The sequence below is a fragment of the Homo sapiens genome, chromosome 18, assembly GCF_000001405.40.
Source record: "Homo sapiens chromosome 18, GRCh38.p14 Primary Assembly".
In the NCBI taxonomy this organism is placed as follows: domain Eukaryota; kingdom Metazoa; phylum Chordata; class Mammalia; order Primates; family Hominidae; genus Homo; species Homo sapiens.
Genome location: NC_000018.10, coordinates 76208622 through 76232049, shown reverse-complemented (window position 1 = coordinate 76232049; position 23428 = coordinate 76208622). Strand labels below are relative to the sequence as shown.

Below are 23428 nucleotides of genomic sequence, written 5' to 3'. Positions count from 1 at the left end.
GTGAGTGCTGTTGTGATACCCATTTTACAATGAGGAAATGGAGGCAGAGAAATTGGCACAGGGCATCTGCATGTGGAGTTTGCATAAACAGAGGTGTCATGGTGGCACTTAAGACCCCTTTCGACTCCAGCAGCATAGCCTCCTCCACATAATGTCTCTGCTTATGCACATTTGAAAGAGGCCTTAGGGAACATCCAGTCTTGATGACCCCGAGGCCACAGAGGGTGAGCAGCCTCAACTTGCAAGGTTAAGTTCTAGAGAGCCGAATGGGAGGCTGTGGTCGGCCTGAACCATGATCTCTCTGTGGCCAGGGGAAAGGGAACACGTTGGCCAGTCTGGTTGCAGTAGGGTTTGTATCACTGCTGCCAGCTTGATTGACCTGTGGCAGGCAGTCAAGGGTAAGAAGAGAAAGGAAGTGATTGAGAAGAGTGACCTAGCTGAAAGCAGAGCAGACCAGGCTGGGGTGTGTCTGGAGGCGGGGCTGGAAGTTACTGCGGGAATCCAGGTGTGAGATCAACTGGATCACCTGAGTTGGCCCTGAGGCTGGAGGTAAGAAGGAATGCATAGATCAGGCAAGAAGACCCATTGAAGACTGGCAGACTAATCAGAAGGAAATGGGTCTTCACTTTTTATCCATTCAAGGCAGATAATTATTAGCATAAGAGGAAAGGAACTTGGAGGATAAAAATGAACGTAAAGAGAGAAATACAACAAATAACAAAATCAGCCCAAATGTTCTGGGTTCCTAACTTATGTGAATAATTTCTGAAGCATGTGTGGATGACTAAGTGGGTTTTCAAGACTCTCCTGAAGATTTCTGTGAATGATTCCTTATCCCCAGGGCTCCGTGGACACTGAGGGATAAGGACAACATGCATACCCTTTCCAAAAGGTTTTCCGTGTACAGATGAAGAGATCACATTTACTCAGAGCTCTCCATCCATCCCTGGGGGCCGGCGTGGCCACTGGTCACTGGGCAGCCTGTCCTAGGACAGCAGGACTCTGAGGGGAGCACGCTGTGATGCAGGTGCGACCCTTGCCCTCTGTCTGCACTTCCTGCTCTAGATACTTGAACACGATATACACACATTTCGAATAAGGCGAAAGTGTGCAGAACAGGATGCTCTGGTCTGTAAGTGCTGGCGTTGCAGCCAAAGCAGGCTTTCTTTTGTGGATTGCTCTGCAAAGAGATGAATCAGGAAAGCCCACTGGCCCCGGGGAATGCACACCCTCGTGTGAAGGCTGTAGATTGTTACTTAAAGGCGGTAAAATTCTTAATGCCTAAACTCTTGTGGAAGAAATATGCATCTTCAGTTTTTAGTAACTTGATTTAATTTCTAATTCAAGTTTTCCTTTTCCTGGGGGTAATGGAACCTTAATAAAAGTCAGTCAGCCCCTCGAATGTCCCACCACTGTTTACTCAGCATTGCAGGGATGCTCAGGGAAGCCCGGGGTTTTTGCTGACCTCTGTCTGGGCCCCTACCCTTCCAGAGCAGTGAGTTGGTCCTTGGCACCCTGGCCTTCAGGTCGCTCTCCCCTTCCTTGGCATGTGCCTGGTAGCTGCTGCTGCTGGCCTGCACTTGATGGTGCCTGGGAATCTGCCTTTCGTGCTTTTGCTGTGTTAGATTACAAAAATCTTGTGGGCTCCTCATGGGCCAGTTGACCCAGACTCACTCTACAGGTGTTCTCTCTTGGGCGTGGGAACTCCGGATCTTATGAACTTATGTCAGGTTTTGCAGCCTCCCAGGATCGTACCTGCAACTGGACTTCTCTTTCTTATCCACCTTTCTTCTCTTTCCCTGCAAGCCAGTACATTTTAATCTAGTCCAAGGGTGAGTTCGGGGTGGGCAACTGGGGAGACAAGCACGTCTCTCCTCAAAACTTTCATATATCTTGGCTTGAGCATTTATTTGTTCCTCCAAGGGACTACATTTTTGAGACCCAGAAGCCAGGAGATTCAAGATTCCTTCCTTCCTTCTCTACTGAATTATTCCCCTGAGTCAATAAACGCAGGACAGCAGAGGTGCTTGAATGGGGTAAGAATAAAGGAAGGAAAGGAATTACCAGAAAAAGTAAATAGGGCAATATTTCAAAAAGTAGTATCCTGTCATTGCAAAACATGATGTGTAGGCATCTGATGCCTGTGTGAATGGAAGATTTGTGAAGGTGCTGTGGCAACTTGGAGGCAAAGCTCTTGCACCTCCTGTCAGTAGGAGATTGAGACAGTGGGCTGGCTTGATCCTAAAAGAAACCATTTTAGAAAATATACCTACTGCAAATTTGTTCTCACCTATACCTAGAACACTTGTCTCAAAGCCATACCTGAGAAGGCCCCACACCTACTACCAACTTTAATTATGAATCTATTGAAATATTTGGTGATCCGAAATCTCGTAGGCTTAGTTGTGTGTCTGTTGAATTCTGCGTCTGTATTAATTTGCGTGTGTTCTTGTGTGGAAGGTGAGCTGAAGCCTCGATCAGGATTATTAAAAAAATAGGTTTAATTATGTAAATGTAGAAAAATATTTATAATATTTAGTATAATATGTTAAGTATATATAATATTATTACATATGTATATGTGCCTGTATTATATGTGTTTTATATTTGCTGTTTCTTTTATTTTAAGGAGAATGATCAGGGTGGGACAAAGAACCAAAGTGCAGAAGGTAGCTCTGGTCAGAGGTGAAGGCTTTGCTTTTGGATAGATCACCCTATCAGGCAAAGAGCCAAGTTTTGCAACCTTTTTTTTAAAGAAACTGTCATTTTCACAGAGAAAAAACCAAATCCTGCACTTTTCACAGACAGAAAACCAGATCCTGTGTTTGTATCACTCTAGAAATTGAGTCTAAAGGAACCAAGAGACGTTTTTGGAAATCTTATGAGTAAGCCCAGCAAAATTGACCCAGATTTGGCAAAATCTTCACACAAATTTGTGTTCCTTTCAGAATCTCTGTGAACTTTCTACAGCTTGCTATATGCACTGTTTATTTTTTATTTTGATGAAATATACACAACATAATATTTGCTGCCTTACTGTTTTTAGAGTGAACACTTCAGTGGTCTGTAGTCCCTCAGTTGCACTGGACACAGTTGAGGCCCTCAGGAGCCACGCGGGGTCAGCGGTGGTGGCATTGGGCAGAGCAGGTGGGCAGCATTTTTACTTGCACAGACAGCTCTGTGGACAGAGCTGTCTAGAGCCACATCTCGAATTGACTCCTACTAAGAATTCAGCAGAAATCTAAGCAGGTAGCTGACACTTGAGAGAGAAAGGGTAGAGGATTTGAAAACGTCCCTTCTCCCACGTTCTAGGCTCATCGAGAAGCAAAGCCACAATACAAATATCTTTAATGAACAAAAACTAAAAATTCTGTCTTAGAAATGAAAACAATTACATTTTTACTCATTTGTGCAGTATAAGAATCCTTTATAATAAGACGTACTAATTTTGGAAGTTACAAGAACAAGTGAAATTAAGGTTTTGATTTTATCTTAAAGGAGACAGCTAAATAATCCACATTTTTCTATATTCTGAATTTTGTTAAAGACTATTAATGATGTTATTCAGTGTCTTTTATGTTACATATCTGCTTAATGAATTAAGCACAGAACTTTACCTTGGGAAAAATGTTTGTTTTTCTTGAGAACTGTAATGTCCTTAGAAAGCCATAGGTTTCACTTATTGACCTGACTGCCAGGAAGTTCAAAACTCAGTTATGGTTAAGTGTATAAATCCCTAGCTGCTTTTACAACTATTGACTCACTTTCCATTTTTCAGTTACCTGACTTCTTTCTTAATTTTTTTTCAAACATTTTCATGTGTATACATATTCTTCAATTGTAGGCTCTAGAGAAGTGTTTTTGGAAGTAGACAAAATACGCATAGTGATGACACATTAGCTGCTGTCTTCATTTGTTGTTTTGTGTTTTTGTGATTTTGCCACTCATAAAAACTAATCTTTGCATAATTTTGGCATGAAATGTCATTTGGAAGCTCACCGAGTTCCAGAAGCTGCATGCCACCCATTCCGAGTCTGTGACCCTCCACAGCCTGGCCCACTGCTCCTCCCAGCATCCCGCGTGGAGCACGGCGTCCTGTGCAGGCATTCTGAGAGGGGCTTCACAGCCATGCTGCCTCGCTGGAGCTGGAGCTGCCAAGCGCTATGCTACATGCTAGGTCTTTACTGCCTCATGGGCAAATCTTCTTTTTGCCTTATGTATTTTTTTTTTTTTTTGCTTGTCTTGAAATCTTTTTTCCTAAAGGTCTTTGACAGCTTCGCTGAACTGGGCATTGGATTGCGGTGTGGAGGCTTTGAGACCACACATGTGCATGGTCCAGTACCTGGAACAAGATGAGCATGGCCGTAAATAACAGGAACAGCAATTTCATAAGGCAGAAGGCGCATAAGCCAACGGGAAGCTTGGCTTCTCATGTGTCAAAAACATCAACACTTTCTTGGGTGTCCAAGAAATTAATGTTATGTCAAAAATTAAAAGACAAAAATGATAATCAGTACAATAAGGTCCCCATCCTAAAAAATTTCATTGGAGGAAGCACATGTGTTACAATATAACAATCCTTTGTCCATATGGCACTTTTTTTATGGCACAATGACCTCACTCTAAAACTCACCTTTTACTTGTAAGGAGCTTATGGTAGCAGGGGAGGCACATAGAGGTCACATAATAGAGGCTAAGACCCATGGTCTCCCTGGAGTGGTGACTCCTGTGGTCTCCGGGGACCTTTCTCCTTCTGTGTGTGCAGCTCCACCCAGGGTATTTGAAGGTAGAACATTCTTTAGGATACAGAATAATGAAACCTTAGGGTTCATTTCAGACTTCCTAGAAGGTTGGGTAGGGGGTGTCGTTCTTGGGAAGTTCCTCCTGGCATCTCTGAAATCATTCAGAAAAAGGTTGTCCAGGTGCCTCCAGAGGGTGTTCTTGGCCATGTTTGTGCGGCGTTCCTCTGACATTGTTCTAAGGGCTCACGGAGAAGGGCATTATCCTAGTGATCATCCACTTGCTGATTGGGTTGATGGCAATTGTGCCACATTTTCCTCCGTGACCTGGCCCTGAAATTAGCCATTTTCTGGAGCTATCCCTTGTGATGGTGTTTCCATAATGTAGATCAGGAAACACTGGTCACCACCAGTCCAATGCAGGCTAAAGATACCTCACGTTGGAATGCAGCTCCTTATGTGAGACTAGGATTCTAGAAACTCTTTCTGGGTTTTCTAGGAACCTGTAAAAATGCTGCAGTGTTTTTACAACAGAAGACAGCATAGCGGGAAGCAATACATTTGGAAGACAGATTCCTATAAAGTCAATGCTTATTAAGTGCAATGTGGTCTAGTGTTCTGATGATGCCTAGCCAATGTCAAGGCCAGAGACTTTTAAGAAACAGCTAAAATTATTTTTTAATGCCTTTTCCCACTTCTTTTCTTGTACCCTCTTGGTGTAGGTGTAGTGATTTGGAGAGGGGACAGGCTCAGCATCAGTATTTCTGCTGCATCCCTCTGTAAACATCTCATGAAGTGGCTGATTTGTGAGAAGAGGATCATCTACCTCCTGCATTCAATCTCATGAGTAGTTGGGAAGAACAGATGAAGTGAGGCTGTGAAGCACTGTTGCAATCTAAGGCACTGCTTAGACATTGGTTGAGGCTCTAACCCATGGTCTCCCTGGAGTGGTGACTCCTGTGGTCTCCGGGGACCTTTCTCCTTCTGTGTGTGCAGCTCCAGCCAGGGTGTTTGAAGGTAGAACATTCTTTAGGATACAGAATAATGAAGCCTCAGGGTTCATTTCAGACTTCCTAGCAGGCTGGATAGGGGGTGTCGTTCTTGGGAAGTTCCTCCTGGCGTCTCTGAAATCATTCAGAAAAAGGTTGTCCAGGTGCCTCCAGTGGGTGTTCTTGGCTGATGTTTGTCCTGCGTTCCTCTGACTGCTAGGCTTAAGCGTCTTCAACTCAGAGTTCAATTCCTCACATGCTGGAAGGCAGGACAGCGAGCACTCTGGGAGGTCCACCAAGCACTTTGTGCTCCATTCCCTGCACTGTCTGCTCAGGAAACCTCCTCACGCAACCATCTGAGGCCTGGTCCTTAAAGTGGAACCTGTCACGCTGGAGCTGAGTGTTGCCTCGGTCCACACAGCATCTTGGAGACATTTATGGTTTCTGCTCTGAGTGTCTCTTGATGGAATTGTTAGTGGCTGCTGCAATGCAGATAATATGGAAAACTATTGTGGTAACTGTGGCTATTGGCATGGTGGCTTTCCACCTGGGATCCCTGGAGTCTTGGCGCCTGGCAGGGGCAGCACTGGGAGGAGGAGGAGACTGAGCTGGTGAGGACCTGAGCCATTGATCCCTTCTCTCCTACCCCCTATGTGCCCTTAATCCAAAGCAGTTTTTAACCTCCCTGCCTTTTGTAAATGATAAAGTTTTGGATAAGATGTTATTTAAAGAAATATTTTGATGCCAAGACATGTTGAAAGTCCCTGCAGTGGGGAAGTCAGGAAAAGTTGGTATAATGCTGGGTTATTAACCTTCTTTGGTGCAAGACCTTTTTTTGAGATGTGATGAAACTGTTTCTCCAAAAAAAGCTCATACCCCACAATATTGCATCAGGATTGCTGAGGCCATCTGTGCATGTGGCCCACACCCCTGGTTAGGGATCCCTTGTCAATTGGGAAGATTATGGGTTGTGGATACAGACAGATAGAGATTTAACCCTGCCTCAGACTTCACTCACTTTTTAACCTCAGGGTATCTTAGTAAACCTCTTTACATTCCAGTTTGTTGTCTGTAAAACAGGGACAATTATGTATTTTTGTGAAGATGAGAGAACTTCAAATGTCAAATCACATGGTAGGTGTTAAGTAAATTGTAACTACTAAAAGGCAGTAAAGTGATGATTAAACATTTATTAATACTTCACATATGGTAAACCCATACCATCTTATTAAATCCTCACAATAAATATGGAAGGTAAGTGTTTTTACCCTTTCTTTACAGAGAGGGTAAACTGACAGATGGGAAACTGAGGCCTGGAGAGATTTCGTCTCCTGCTCAACATTGTCACAACTTGTCAGAGATGGAGCCTGAGCAAAATCCCAGGTCTGCCTGATTCTGAAGCCTGGACTTTTACAGAACACTGCCTCTGACCATGGCTATGCTGGCATTCAGCAAGTAGGAACATCAGGAGCACTGAGGCTGTCACTAATGGTCCTGTCCCAGCCCCTCCACTGTGAAGCTGAGACCTTTCACAGGAACCAAAAAGGGATTGATGCTGTGGAGATGGGACACTGATACTCGCAGGTATGCACACTGCTGGGCAGGTCCACATGACCGATACGTGCCAGAAGCCAACTGGAACAAAGCTGTGAAATGGGAGCATTTCTGAGAAAGAGAATAGCAGCCCCTCCCTGGTGCCAGCCCAGCCCACACAGCTGGGCCTGGCATTCTCCCTAACACAACACATCGCTGAAGAGCAACACCAGACAAGCCACTCATGACCCAATGCAGCAAGACAGACAGACACCGGGTGACTGTGTCTGGACACAGAAAACATGCCATGGTCTAGCCACCAATCACAGACACTGGGTGACCGTGTCTGGACACATATGGGACACACCTCGGCCCAACCACCGAACGATTCCCTGTTATGCCTACTAGGAATGACAGCTGCTTCTTTACCTGCATTTTCTTTAAGCACCTGTGCCAGGTGGTTTCACTCCTGAGCCTCCAGCATGGTGTGTCAGGAATACTTCTGTCCAAGAGTCAGGGCTGCTTGTTCAAACCTTTGCTTGGCCATTAATTCCCTGAAAGCTCTTGGATAAGTCATGTCTTGGTCTGTTTTCTGTAGCTATAACAGAAGATCTGAGACTAGGTAATTTATGAAGAAAAAGGCTTAGCTCACAGTTCTGGAGGCTGTGAAGTTCAAGATCAGGTGGCTGCATCTGGCAAGGGCTTCGTGTGCATTGCAACATGGTGGATGACATTACTTGGCAAGAGCACATGTGAGAGAGGTGAGCAGGTGTATGCAAAGAGACAAAACGCAAGGGGTGGCCTTGCTCTGTGACCTCCTGCTCTCCAGATAGCTCATCCAGTCCTGCAAGAGTGAGAGTTCACTCTGGAGAAAGAGCATTAATCCCGCTATGAGGGCAGAGCCAGCCCTCTGCTGCAAATGCCTCTTCAATGTCCCACCATCGGTCAGCACTGTTGCATTGGGGGTTTCAATTGGTCTCAGTTTCAATGTTAAGGCATGGTTGAAACAAGTGAGCTCTGAGGCCCTGTGACTCAGTGAGAGAGGACGCGATGGGAAAGGGAAGGAGCCTGGAGGCCACAGGGACATGGCCTCAGGGAGGCAGGCCCTCTGGTCAATGTGAAGAGAACACAAGGCGCCCACAAACCACCTGCCGGTGGAAGGCTCCCAGACGCTGAGCAGGGTGCAAGGTGTCAGGACTTTTGGCCTGCTGGCATGTGCCTGTCAGGGAGGGTGGGTGCACCTGGCCTAGCTGTACTTGGAGAAAGAAGCAGGCTGGGTTCCACGGCTCGTGATCCAACAACCCCGGCCACTTTATAGGCCCTGAAGGAGATATGAAAGCCCAGATGCTGTTTTTATGGGTTTCTGCTGTTGTTGTTTGTGTTTCATGAAATGTTTTAATTGTTTGGTTTTTTATGCAATGTATCCTGAGGCTTTTAAAATTATTTCACAAAGAGTACGTGTAGCACTGAATGTGAAACAGACTCATTTACAAATTGTAGGCCGACCACATTAGAGAAGGTGAAAGCTGCGAGCATTGCTCTCTGCTGCCTTCGGGCTGCTGCACTAAATAGCAGGTCACCGGCCTCGCCGGTGCTGGGGAAGGAGCACATGAAAGGTAGGAATGTGCTTCTCCCCAACCGAGCCTCCTCACCAGTTGTCTCTGAATTTCTCTACTGGTTGGAAAGCAATTTTCTTATTAGAGAAAAAGAAAAGAAACAAAGTCATGGTGGCCCCACCAACCTTATCTCTTCACTCTGGAAATTAATAGCAAAGATGTGCAGCAGCCACGCTGGCAGAGAGAACCACACCCCAGACCGTCCAGCAAAGCCAGGCATGGGGAAGCGTGTCAGCATCCGATAAACCTGGTTGGAAACTTCTCAGTTTAAACCGCTTCAGAGACTAGCTTGATTTTCCCACCTGATTCTGTCATGTTTTCTGGATGCATGGTCTCCTGGGACACTCCTGCCATGAAAGAACCAGGAGGCTCTCCACTGGACAGTCACCTTAGGAATGGGATAGTCACATGTGAAATCTTGACCTGTATAGATGCCCCTTATTGATAAGAAGCTCTTTAGTTACCACATTTTGCAAGGGTGGCAGGTTTGCCCTGTTTGATGGCTTGCACAAGGGCCCTGAAACACCAAATCCACATGTGTACCACCATTCTGCATATGGACTGAATTTGGCAAAACTCATGGTGAATTGTCTAAGAGCCTGGACTGACTTGCTTGTTTCTTTATTTTTTTGAGACTGATTCTCTCTCTATCACCCAGGCTAAAGTGCAGTGGCACAATCTCGGCTCACTGCAACCTCCACCTTGGGTTCAAGCAATTCTTGTGCCTCAGCCTCCCGAGTAGCTGGGATTACAGGCACCTGCCACCACGCCCAGCTAATTTTTGTATTTTTAGTAGAGAAGGGGTTTCAGCATGTTGGCCAGGCTAGTCTCGAACTCCTGACCTCAAGTAATCCGCCCACCTCAGTCCCCCAAAGTGCTGGGATTACAGGTGTGAGCTACTGCGCCTGGCCAGATTTGCTTGTTTCTGAGCCAAGGTTACCGCGCTGGCTTTGAGTCACATTTGATTGTTATCCCCTGGGTGCCTATTAAACACACCGGTTCCTGTGTCCTACTCAAGACCAACTCAAACAGAATCTTCAGGGTACATACCTGGGGAGCTGGATGTTTAACAAGCACCCCAGAATTCTTCTCATGGGGGAAGTGTGGGAAACCTGGGACTTGCTTCAGAGACCAGCGACCTCGCTCTGTGGGCAGAGTGGAGAGCATCCTGGGACACTTGGCTCATGGCCTCAGCTTTGGAAATGGATGAGCTAGGGTTAAGACCTTCCCTTGGGAGGGCTCAGAACTCAGCGAGCTGTGCCTTAGGATATGAGGCTGCTGTTGGGCTCAACCTGGAACAAGTACAGGTGCTGGCTTAGCTTGATGGGTAAGAACAGGATTTGCAGATGGGGGGCTCCCTGTCTTGTTAGCATTTTCAGTCTTTTGGCCATGTCAGTAAGCTCAGGACAGGGCAAGGGCTTCTGGAAGACAAAGGAGGACAGTGAGATTGGGCTGTTCTATAACATTTATTCAGGTCTCTGGCAGAAGCCCCGTGGAACCTCAGCCGGACAGGAGGTGACGCTTCTCCAGATGACAGTTCTTGTGCCAGCGTCTCAGGTCTGCTCCAGGCTGACGGGTGCTCCGTGCACACAGCAGACCCTGCCGGAAGCTGCAAGTTTGGGAATCGCAGTAAGGGGTGGTGAGCTGTTCTTTGGTTGTGCGATCACGTTTACCAGTAGTCTGGCCAGGCCTCTGGCTCATGGTTAGCGTTTTCATTTATAAAATGCCCGCCTCCCTCCCAGAGAAAGTGAGAGAAGTCATTCACAAAATGATTTTAAACTGCTTTCCAAGGAGCGGCCACTGTGGAATTGCTTCATAGTAGTGAAAGTTTTCACTTGAGTGGGTATTGAAAACAACGGGTTGACCTTCCAGAAAAGGAAAACACTCCTAATTTACTACAAATAGAAACAAATACGTTGTTAGTTTGTAGTTGTCAGGTCACTTGCTTGCAGCAGGACCAAGACTGACACCATGAAATAGCCATTAATTCATCTCACCAACTGCTCAGGTTCAGCCAAGTTTGGAATAATTTCTTCCAGATGCCTTGCTACCACCACCCAACATTGAAGTGGGCATAGCTGTGCCCGCCACCCAACGTTCTGAACCATGGGCTTGACATAAACTGGGCATAGCTGTGCCTGTCCCTTACTTAGCTCTACAATAAGAAACTCTTTAGTTACCACATTTTGCAAGGGTCCTACCTGGAGCCATCATCCATGGAATGGTTACATTGGGAGAATGTATAGGAAGCCAGTGTTTTCTAAGTTAGAATTAATTACCATGCTTGTCCTTGGACAGACGGGAGGCCCGGTCATTTCTCACTTTTGTGTATCACCTTGCAAAGTACCCTCCATCGCCTGCTTGGGGCCACCTAATAACTCCATAAACTGTGCAGGTATTATTGCCTCCATCTTACAGATGACAAAACTAAGGCCAGAATGTCAAATAACTAGGTAAACAATACAGGATTCTAAATGTGGGGGCATGACTTGAGCCTCCAGAGCCTGAGTCTAAGCCAGAGTGTTTCCACCAAACTGTGCCATCTTCATACACTGATTTCTCTAGGTATTTGGCCAGGTATTTTTCTGGCCAACAAATGAAAATTAATGTAGTCTCTGAGAGAGGGACTATGGTAAGGAACTAAATGGTCTTGCCTGGCTTCTTTAGGCTTAAATCTTTTACTAGAAGGAATATGTTTTATTATTTGTTATTGTCAAAATGATAAATAAAAGTGCTCGATTGCAATGAACGTCAGTAAGTAACTGACTTGACGTTGTATAATTATTAAATGTTTAAAATATGTTAGTGGCAATAGTGACACTGATAATATTGATGTGTCGTGTTTTGAAGGCACTCACTTTAATGTTTATATATCCCCAATACATAATGAATTAAGTAAGCAAGCGTCGGGTCCTAAGCATTTTTCTAATTTATATGATTAGTAAAGAAGTACTCTGCTAAATGGGATAAAGTGCTAGTTTAGAATTATGGGATTTCAGACTTTTCTCTGTAACTACTTGCCCTATTGTGTCGAGTCTTACTCTTTTGTTCTAGATGACTTTCTTTATTCATAAAATGGTAGTCAGGCCTTTGTATACTGCCAAAAATATGTCTACCCCACACTTAGATTTATTCCAAAGAATAATTGCACATAGATTGTGCACCTATTATAATTACTGATGTTTATCCAGCACACCTAATTTTGCCTTTGTCCCGGCTTGTTGAGGACACTGTTGCCTTAACCAGTGCATCTTCAAGAGGAACCTTGTGGCTTCTGCCATGACCAGACATGGGTTTCTTGGTCTTCACATGTGAGCGCTGCAGTCTCAGGGTTGCCAGGATGCTTCCGAGGATGCCATCTTCTATTTTTTAGTGGTTACATTTTTCAAAATATAGACTGAGATGCTGTTTCCCATTTTGGGGGTGGCTGGCCTCCTTATTCCTGGGATGTGCATGGTAAAGTGAGTTTCTGAATGGGTCTATGAGCTTCTTCCCCAGCCAGAGTTAATTTAGACACCACCTCTCCCTTCTAAACAGAGCCAGGGCCCATATACAAGTCAAATCTGCTATTTTTCTTTGGGCAATGATTTATTTCCCTCTTAAATTGGCTGGACCAGTTAGTTTTTTATTTTTATTAAGTCACACTATTCTTAAATGAAACTATTGATTTAAAGTCAGCTTAGTGAGGATTTAATTTGTTTTCAGGGGATTAGAGCAGGTAGCATGGGATAATTTTACAATGAAGTGGAGCAGAAGCATTCCTTCACAGTGCCTCGCCTTTTTTTTTTCTTGCCAGGCTGCACAGACATTACAAATTTTCAAGTAAATTGTGGAAATACATTCATAAATCAGTCCTAATTCGTCTGCCTGCTTAAGGGTGATTCAAAGGGGAGTTCATTCCTGACCTTGTCTCATGTCCTTCTGATAGGCCACGTGTCTAGGGCTAAAACACGTGTACCTGTGCATGTACACGAACACACACACACACACACATACACATACACACACCAGATTCCTTTCCTCCTTTCCTCTCTAAGGTCCATGTAAAATTCTTTTTCGTCGCCTTTCCTCCCTTCATACAGTATTGCCTCTGTTCACACAATGGTTTCTTTCCCTAGCATGTGGAAGGGGTGAAGGGCGCAGGGCCTGTGGGGACTGCCTAGCTTGTGTCCCCTTCGGGTCCCCCTGGTTTCTCTGCACCCAGTGCACCCTCTCCCTGCTTTCCCCCATGCTCCAGTATCCTCTCTCCTGGTCGGGATCCCTCTGACCTTCCAGGAAGTTGGGTGGCAGGTCTGGGCGCCAATGGAGGGAGGGCAGGTGGGGAAGTGAATGTGATCAACTCTCATGATGGTTTAAAAATCAACAGAGTGAAACTGTCCAAACACAGCTAGGGAAGGTTTTCTGTTGTTTGTTTTAAAAAGTAGAGTCTTGTCATTGCCAGTCTGTTATCTCTGAGCTTGGCTGTCACTATCCATTTCAAAAGGAGCCGTTTCTTTCTATTGAAATCAAATAGAGTCAGAGCCATTTTCAGATTAATGGTCCTTGGTCTAGAGGTTTCAAAACCATTTTGGTCAATCATTCTGAGTGTCTCCATTGTCCACAACCCCCTCCCACTGGGGTAGCTGGGGCCGAGTCTTGCCAAGCATCAGGTGACTAAGTCCATCTGGAGAATCCGCCACTGCCAAAGGGGCTGGACTAGCATCCCACCTACTGGGCTCCCCACCAGCAGCAACACAGGGGTCCACTGCCTTTCGTTTCACAAATAAGTCTTGACTTCCTGAACAGTCGGCTTCATGCCTCATGCACTGGAACTGGAAGGCAGGGCAGGCTTTTCTCTGGGACCCGGGGTGTCACTGGGATTCCTCTGCTAAACAGCTGTGAGTGTGGGGGATGAAGGGAGACAGGGTGTAGGTAGCAGATACATCAGGTGTTTCTTGGGATTTGGACTTTCTTCTTCCTTCCTTCCTTCCTGCCTTCCTTCCTTCCTTCCTTCATTCCTTCCTCCCTCCCTCCCTCTCTCTCTCCCTCCCTCCCTCCCTCCCTCTCTCTCTCTCTCTTTCTTTCTTTTTTTCAAGGAGTTGCATTCTGATTGCCCAGGCTGGAGTGCAATGGTGTGATCTTGGCTCACTGCAACCTCTGCCCTCTGCCTCCCAAGTTCAAGTGATTCTCCTGCCTCAGCCTCCCGAGTAGCTGAGATTACAGGCATGTGCCACCATGCCCAACTAATTTTGTATTTTTAGTAGGGATGGAATTTCTCCATGTTGATCAGGCTGGTCTTTAACTCCCAACCTCAGGTGATCCACCCACCTCAGCTTCCTGAAGTGCTGGGATTATAGGTGTGAGCTACTGTGCCCGGTGGGATTTGGGCTTTCCATAGCACTCAGTTTGATTGCGGAGAGCAGGTGAATTGCCAAGACCTGCCTGTGGCCATGGAGTGCAGCAGCAGGTGTGTGTGGCCGGCCAGCCTGTGGGACCAGAAGGAGACTTGAGGATGGGGTCACGAATGCTCCACTGCATGGAGGATGGGTGAGCTCAGGTCTGCCTGTTCTTGGTGTGAACGACTCACAAGAAGACTTGCCTAGAGAAATTCAAGGGACCAACCATACCACAAGAGAATACAAATGGCACAGAGCAGTAGGCATCATGGCATGAGGTACCGGAACTGTGCAAGGATTACACAAGCATTAAAAATGCAGAATGGATTGCAAGAAAAATGCCATATATTTTCTGAGTAGTCAGAGGAAAGTGTGTACGTAAAGGTGTCACGAGAAGCATAGTGAAACTGAACTGAAATGTTAAGAGTAACAACACAGGAAAGATCAGCAGCAGCAGAGATGGGAGACATACAGGAGAAAGGCCGGAGAACTCTGAGCCAGCACCAGCACGGTTCCAGGGAATTCCAGTGAGGGAAGGCGAGGCCAGGGTTGGTAAGTACAAAGAGGAAACCCAGATAGTCATAACAAGAAAATTGGGCATCTACCCACCTGTGTTTCAAACAAGACATCAACACTTTAATTGAGGAGGATCTTGTAAGCTGAACCCTTCAAAAAAAAAGAGCAATAAAAATAAAAATAAATCCTTATAATATATGTCAATGAGATATATATGTACATAAGAATTGTTCATTAAATAAGTTTATGGATCACTGGTAGATCGTTTATAATCAATTTCTTTGTTTTCAAATTTCATTAAGAAACCTCAGTCAGGAACTGAAAAGGTAGAACAATATAAATCTTATGCAGTCGTGTTACTCTTAAATTTACCAAATTCTGAACATTTGAATTAATAATTAGGTGAGGATTAGTGTCATTAGCTTTATTAATCCTGAGCCCTAAGCCACCAGGTATCCAACTGAAGCTAAAACAGGGCATGATCCCAATGTGCCCTTAGTGAATTTCACATTCACTAGAAGAAGAGAAGAATGTTGTGTTAAGGAATTCTCATGATCACTTTTGTTTGTTTAAGAAGGATGCTCTAATTGGTAAGTGGGTCTTTCTAATAAATTTTAAGCACTAAACATACCCACAAGCATAAGTTAGAATATAAAAGTGGAAAAATTAGATTTTATAAAAATTAAAACTTGTGGTTTTCAGAAGACCCTGTTAAGTGAATGAAAAGACAAGTCACACTGTAAGAAAATATCTTCCAAACACATGTCTGATAAAAGATTTGTATATGGACTACACAGAAAACACTCACAACTCAATAATAAAAGAAACACTTCAATAAAATACACAGCCAAATGATTTGAAAGCACTTTCACCAGACAAGCTATATTGGTGATAAATTAGCACATAAAAGGTTGCTAGTCACTAGGAAAGCACAAATGAAGATCACAATGAGATACCAGTGCACACCTATTAAAATTGCTGACAAAACAAAACAGAACCAAAACAACAATACCATGTGCTGGTGAATATGTGGAGCCACTGGAACTCTCATACATGGCTGCAGGGAATGCAAAATGGCATAGCGACTTTGGAAAACAATTTAACAGATTCTTCTAAAATGAAACATGCACTTATTATATAACTCACAATCCCAGTCCTTGGTATTTAAGAGAAATGAAAGTATCTATTAATACAAACTCCTGTCCATGTTGAGTTTCAGGGGCAGAATACCCACCAGGAGTTGCACTTTGAGCAATGAATGTACAGGGTTTACATAAATGTGGAGATTGCTTTATTCATAATTGCTAAAATTTAAAAGCAAACCAGATATCCATCAAATCAATAACTGCAGAATATTTATACTATGGAATACTATTCAAAAAAATGAATAAACGACTGATAGTGCAATACGTGGATGACTCTCAAATGGGCTACTCTAAGTGAGAGAAGACAAAAGCTACACACTCCACAATTCCATTTATTTCAGACTTTGAAAAAGACAAAACCAGAGGGACATAAAACAGATCAGTGGCTTCTAGGGACTTTGGTGGATGGAACAGTGTGGTGGATTAGCCACAAAGGGATATAACAGGGATGATAGCATGTTCTCTATCTGGATTCTGGTGGTAGTTCCATGACAATCTGCATTTATCAAAGTTGATAATTGTAAAATGATGCCTCTGTAAACCTGACTTCAAATCTGAAACAAAAGGAAATAATGAAGCCTCTTAATTTACCTTAGGAATTTCTGTTAACTCCACTATTTTCTTGTGGTTAAGAAATGGGCTAATTTTTTGATAAGTTTATGCAGTTTCCCCCAAACTACATCTCCTCCTGTCAGGAGTGTGTTTCCTATTACCAATAAAACAATAGTCAACTCACTAAATGACTTCCATTAGAAGGTTTCCATTCCTGTAAATCTCCAGGGATATCTTCACCATTACTTTGCAAATTAAAAGAATGGAGTGGATGTAATGACTTTGAAAAGATAGAAGCCTTAAATAACTGGGAATTTTATAAAACTGAAGACTCCAGAAGGCCTAAAGCACTGCAATTTGTAGGTGTATTGCCTTTTTTCTTTTTTTTAATCATTAAGTTTCCAAGTTTTAACACAATTTAATTATGTAATCATTTCTGGAATTTACCTTTATTTATAAAACTACTTTTAAAAACTGTAAAAAACAAATGAACCTATGTATAGCATTTTGCAGGCTACAAAGTGTTTTTACATTCATTATTCATTTGATTTTCTCCAACATCTCCTATCATGGGTCTAGAGTCTTCCTCTAATTTTATAAAACAGGAAGCAGGAGTGCAACCATATTAACACTTTTCCCAATTAACAAGTAGCAGGGCAAATATTCAAACCCAGATTCTTCAATAGCAAATCCCAAGCACCTGCTCTTTTTTTTTTTTGACAGAGTCTCTCTCTGTCACCAGGCTGGAGTGCAGTGGCGCAATCTCGGCTCACTGCAACCTCCAACTCCCTGGTTCAAGTGATTCTCTTGCCTCAGCCTCCCGAGTAGCTGGGACTACAGGTGCCTGTCACCACACCCAGCTAATTGTTGTATTTTTAGTAGAGATGGGGTTTCACCATGTTGGCCAGGATGGTCTTGATCTCCTGCCCTCGTGATCTGCCCTCTCAGCCTCCCAAAGTGCTGGGATTACAGGCGTGAGCCACTGTGCCCAGACTCCAAGCACCTGCTCTTTAATTTCTCTAGCCAAGGTTTTGTCTTGAGTACAGACTATCATTGTACAAGGTCTGAGGGGAATAAAAAATGTTCCTTACCCCAAATTATTTTGCATGCCGTTTAGAGACATCTTACCCTTAGGTAGGCAAATTGAAGATCCATCCCACTTAAACATAGAGCTTAACTGAAGTTTAGATGTCCGAGTAGAGGTATAATGAAAGGTTGGTAATTAGTTGAGTGAACAAAAGCAAAACCTGTATATCTCTCTTTTTCATAGAGGTCATCGTGCCACAAAGCGTTCATTGTTGCCATCATGTGTGTCACCAAAAACTGTTACTGCCATTAGAAGAAGGAGAAAAAAATCAAATAACCCAAGGCACTTTGTCCAGCTCTTTCAACAGAAGAGCTTTATAATACAGAGTGGCTATTATGCCCTTTCAGTTTCACTGCATTGCTTTTATAAATAGGATGTGCTTCTCTGTAAAATAGGAGAAAGGCAATATCCTGTATAGGCCTTTGTGAAGTCAGCTTTATAGAAAGTAGCCAGGGAGGCAGGAAAGACCCCTTCTGTGGTCTCTCAGTCCTGCCTGCCAAGGCCGGTGGTCACTCAATGCTAGGCACCTGTGTGTGGGATACCACGGGTGGTGTCCATGACAGTCCCCAAGGAGGAGCGGAGAAACAAAAGAATCCAACCCAGAATGAACAGTGTTTTGGCTTCAGATAAGATGAGTGACCAGAAATGATTCTCCAGCTCATATGTGGGCCACTGAATTTTCTGCATCTTCCTGTCTCACTTTCTGGCTGGTCTGCAGATCAACCTCCAATCTTTCCATCTCTGTTTCTCCGTCCCTCCCTCTCCCTTTCTTTCTCCTTCTCTCCCCCAACCCTTTGTTTGTCTGAAGATTAAGCAACCAAAGATGTTTTCTGTATACTCAAGCAGCAAGTACAGTTGGCCTTCTCTCTGGCTGATGTACCATGTGTAACTATAGGATTTAATTTTGGTTTGCATTAATCAAACAACAATAAAAGCCATAAAATCCCCTCTAAGAAGCATTTTAACTTAAAATCCAATGCTAAACACCCAGGGATTTTGCCTATTGTCTTCTCCAATGCCCTGTAAAAGGAATGAGATAGCAAGAGAAAGAAAGAAAAATTGAGCCACTTTTTTTTTTTTTGTGCATAGAAAGGGAGAAAACATATAATAAATTAAAGGTAGTGGGAGTGAAATAAAGGCCAGAGGTAAACGACGTTTAATTGTGTGAGCTGCTCTCCCCCTTATGGTCCCTGCCAGCTGCTGCGGTTATTGCTACCTTCCTGTTTTAAGATGAAAGCAATGATGGTAGACACGTGCAGACACACAAAAGAGCCTATTTGGACTGGCGTGTCAGCTCATCTTTATCAAATGTTGCACAGGTATATTTTGTTGCCATGCTTCATTACCCCAGAATGGCATGCCTGAAATGTTTGTCTCTTCTATAAACCCAATAGCTTTCCCAGCCAGGCATTGTTTGACAGGCAATAGACGGGTGTTTCTTTCGCAGGCATGGGTTTGTAAAGGCCTGGCAATTAAGGAGAGGGAGAGAGGGAGAGAGGGAGAGAGGGAGGGAGGGACAGAGAAGAGAGGGAGAAAAGGAAGAGAGACAGAGGAAGAGAGAGGGAGAGGGAGAGGGAGAGTGAAAGAGAGAGGAGAGAGGGAGAGAAAGAGGGAGAAGGGGAGAGAGAGGAATAGAAAGGAAGGAGGGAGATGGGGAAATAGTTGGGGAGAGAGAGAGGGAAGGAGCCGGAGAGAGGGAGCTGGGGGGAGAGAGAGGAGAGAGGAAGGAAGAGTGACAAGATGTAGGGAGAGAGAGAGAGAGACACTTATTAAAAAAATAAAACGTGTGTAGTGTGTGCATTTTCGATTTTTTTTGTACATAAAGAAGACATAAAGAGCTGCATAATGAATCTGGATTGTGTTTTAGAAAGGATCATTCCCCCCTGCGATTGGAAAGAATCTTTTTCAGACATCCAGGTGGTTGATTTAAAATAGGAAGTTTTGAAAATAATTTCTGTGAAGCATAAAGGGATGAGGCAAGTGGCAGGGAAAAATACAGAGATGGTAAATAAGACCATAGTCGCCAGAAGTGGAATTTGGCTTTCTTTTACACGTAAGACTATTGCATCAAAATTCACCTCTTATCTTCCAGTAGCCTCCTGGAAAATCAATATTTTAATCCTGTGTGATATAGATTAAATTCTCAGGAAGTAGAATTGGGGAAGGCCTATATTTTATTTTTTCCCCTTAGAGCAACTGTGATAGTGACTTTTTGCAAATCAGAGAAGGACGCATGAAGATTTGGCCAAGCTAATATCCATGCAATTTCTTGCCTTTCCTCTGGGGATACTATTCCCATTGGATCCCACAAGCTTATCCACAAAATAAGCTTAGCAATTTCCACAGAAGTAACCGATGGTGGCATCATTAGGAGCTAGCTCATTTTCAGAGGAAGATTTTGTTCCATCTGAGTTTATATTAACACAGTGTTCCTGGCAGAACTGTTATTAACCAAGACCTTCATTTGTTATCTGGAAAAGAAGGAACAACAGTAATTGATGGGCAATTCCAACATGGGGGTACCAGAAACCACAAAATAGACACGATGATGCAAACCATGTATTTTTTTGTAGTTGTTTTGTCTTCTGTAGGAATGATGGGATGTCAGCAGATGTCTAGACAGAAATGTGCAGAATCCCTTCAGATCCGAGGTGACGGAGAGAGTGAGTTTCCAATGCCTGAGCTAAAACCATCAAGGCCATACGGGTGTTGGAATTCAGAATCTTTTTGATTTTAGAAAAATGATGTGGTGCATGTACTGCATCCTAAATCATGCTTCCAGTTGAGTCAGAGGCAGCGTTCTGGTCGCACACACGCATATAGTTGCAGTCAAATGTAGGAATGGTCACTCTAATTAGGATAAATAAAAACTACAAGTAAAGAATCTCACGTCAGTTAAAGTTAGGTCAGATTTTGCTGCAAAAAGGGCTAGGAAAAGATTTTCAGTTTTCGAATCTTTTGGGGTTTTGTAATTGCAGATAAGGGATTGCACTTCTGAATGGCTCTTTTTTCAGTAGAGAAACCCTGCTCTGCAGTTTCTGTGGGCAGTGGCCTCCCACGGAAGAACTCCTGCCCTCGGTGGAGGAGTCTCCCCTCGGGGGCTGAACCCCTTCAGCAGAGGAGCACCCTTCTTTATGTGACCTGATCCCCCAGGACACTTGAGTCACCCCTCCAGCTCCACAGGAAGGTAAGGTGTGAGGAGATGCTGGGAATTTTTTCTGCAGGCTCCGGAAGTGGGAAGCTTGTCTCTAGCACGGCTGTGTTTGGTCCTGGCCTTGCCACATCACCAGGAGAGAAACTTGAACTCATCCCCTTCTCATATGTGTTTGCCACCGACTTGTTTTGTTATTAGTCTTTACTGCCACAGACGTGTATCTTTCCTTCATTTATAAGTGGGACACCGAGGAGCCATGGACCTGCTAAAACTTCAGCTCTGTCGTCCTCTGGTTTGTACGAATGCAGAAAGGTCACCTCGCTGCTTTCAGCCCCAGTGTTATCATCTATACCCTCTTGAACTACAGTGGTCTTTAGTTGCTTTTTCAACTTGAAAAAAGGTATGTTGTTAGCTTCCTTTTTCAAGAGTTAAAAAGGGCTGATTGTGTGCGTGTGCGTGTGCATGTGCATGCACGTCCATGTTTTTAATTCCCCTACAGTAGAAGAATAAGAATTTTTCGTCTTTTATGGTCAACTCTGGATGGTGGCCCAGGTTTAAGCTCTGAGCCTATCATTAAAGCTTTGTCAAGGGTTTATTCATTGCCCATCAGAGACATGCCACTCCTGGGTGTCTACCCAGAGGAAAAGAAGTCATTATATGAAAAAGACACTTGCACACACATGTTTATAGTAGCACAATTCACAATTGCAAAAATATGGAACAGCCCAAATGCCCATCAATCAATGAGTGGATAAAGAAAATGTGATATATATCTATATCTATATCTATATCTATATATATAAAATACATATATGTGTATATATAAACACATATATAATATGTATATATAATACATGTATATATATAACACACATATATATAATACATGCATATAATACATATATAATACATGTATACAGGTATATATATGTATATCTATATACCATGGAATACTACTCAGCCATAAAAAGGAAGAAAATAATGGTATTCGCAGAAACCTGGATGGAATTGGAGACCATTATGCTAAGTGAAGTAACTCATGAAAGGAAAACCAAACATTGTATGTTCTCACTGATAAGGGGGAGCTAAGCTATGAGGATGCAAAGGCATAAGGATGATGCAAGGGACTTTGGGGACTTGGGGGAAAGGGTGAGAGTGGTGTGAGGGATAAAAGACTACACACTGGGTGCAGTGTACACTGCTTGGGTGACGGGTGCACCAAAATCTCAGAAATCACCACTGAAGAACTTACTCATGTAACCGAACACCACCTATTCCCCCTAAACCTATTCAAAAAATTTAATTAAAAAAAAGAGAAATGCACACATTCCCAGAACCAGAGACTGCCCAGGCGTGTGCTTGTGCACACGCCCGCGTGCACACACACACACACACAGACACACCTCTCCTGACAGTGCTTCTTTGGGGGAACATAATTAACTTTAGTTTTGTATGAATAACCAACCTTCTCCAGAAGAATGCTTTTTGTGGGCAGGGTTTCCTTGGGTGGTTACTGTAATGATGAATCAGACAATAGTCACCACCAGAAGTGAAATTCGGTTTTCTTTTACACGTAAGATGATCACATCACCCTTGTGAGCTAGAGACAGACATGATGAAAGAAAAAGTGCTTGTGTTTAGTACAAACAAGTAGTGGTAGATTCACAAGCTCATCAAAATCAAAATTTTGTTGTTTTCAAATTATTCATGTTTACAAGAAACAACGTGAAAAGCTAAGGGTTGATCTTAGAATCTTTCTGTCCAGGGAAATCCCTCGTGAAGGACAATGGGGAGGTGTCTTTGTTCCTGACCGAATTCTCCAGCCAGGAGCTCACACTCTCCTTCCTTGGTTTGCATGTGGATGGCTCAACATCCAGGTGATCCGATCCATCGGTTGATCTCTGACAGTAGACTGAGACGCCTTCTTTTCTTTTGTGATGTCATCCTTCCCTTTCCAGGACTGCCTTCTTCTTGTCCTCTCCCCATCCCAGCCACCCCTTCTTCCCTTCTCCAAGAGACTTAGCCTGTGAACTCCAGCGGGGAGCGGGGGAAAGAGAATGCTTGCTATTTCCTCCACCGAATGGAAAAAAGCAACACCTTAGAGTGAATGATCGATATTATTATAAGCGAGGTGTAGCTCAGGGCAGGTGAGCGGCTGTTAATGAGGCGCCCCCCTGCATTCTGACAGATGCCTGTCATTGCTGTGCGCTCACAGCATGATGGATGCGGGCCAGGCTGCCCTGCTGTTGGAGCCGCTGCCTCCTTTCTCCCGTTTGTCTCTAATCTGCTGACCTGACGATGACCCAGCAGAGGTGGAGCTGAAATTAACATGTCATTTTCTCTAGTTAAATTAAAAAAGGGGGAGGGGGCAGAAGAGAGGAGGAAGGAAACATTTGAAACAGAACGAATATAGCTTGGTAGCAAAAATACAAGCCCTGTAGGAAGTCCCCACAGTGTTTTAGGGGAAGGCATTTCTCATAAAAACGAAAGCATGTGCTGATGCTCGCTTATGTCATGTCGTGTCGGGCCGGCCCCTCTCCAGAGACACCCGGGGTTTTCTCTGGGTACTCAAGGGAGACCACTCAGGGGCTCCTCAGCAGCTGACACCCTGGTCTGTGGGCCCTGTCTTGTCCACACTGGCTACTCGTCCAACACAGGCGTGTGGGACACCTGTTTTCTGTCAGCCATTATTGTGTCTTCACCAACATCGGTTTTAAATAAC

The 23428-nt window shown here is 44.0% G+C and overlaps 2 long non-coding RNA genes across 2 annotated transcripts in view, besides 1 other annotated feature; one reads left to right on the top strand and one right to left on the bottom strand.

Annotated features, from left to right (window-relative positions):
- LOC105372210 (uncharacterized) overlaps nt 1-15028 on the top strand; it is a 38239-nt gene extending 23211 nt beyond the window's left edge. The window contains exons 3-4 of the long non-coding RNA XR_935654.3: nt 3047-3147; nt 5462-15028. This is a non-coding gene — a long non-coding RNA (uncharacterized LOC105372210). The remainder of the gene's footprint in view (nt 1-3046; nt 3148-5461) is intronic.
- A 1197-nt stretch (nt 15029-16225) lies between these two features.
- LINC01893 (long intergenic non-protein coding RNA 1893) lies at nt 16226-22540 on the bottom strand. The gene is made up of 4 exons (NR_146507.1): nt 22518-22540; nt 22172-22306; nt 17594-17794; nt 16226-16467 (listed from the first exon to the last, which is right to left on the bottom strand). It is a non-coding gene; the product is annotated as a long intergenic non-protein coding RNA 1893 (long non-coding RNA).
- Nucleotides 22126-23325: an enhancer, noted in NCBI's record as "MED14-independent group 3 enhancer chr18:73920680-73921879 (GRCh37/hg19 assembly coordinates)". NCBI's record gives its function as "activates an origin of replication core promoter dependent on BRD2, BRD4, P300/CBP and CDK7 cofactors, and independent of MED14, by STARR-seq in HCT116 cells {active_cell/tissue: HCT116}" and the evidence as "EXISTENCE:reporter gene assay evidence [ECO:0000049][PMID:35650434]".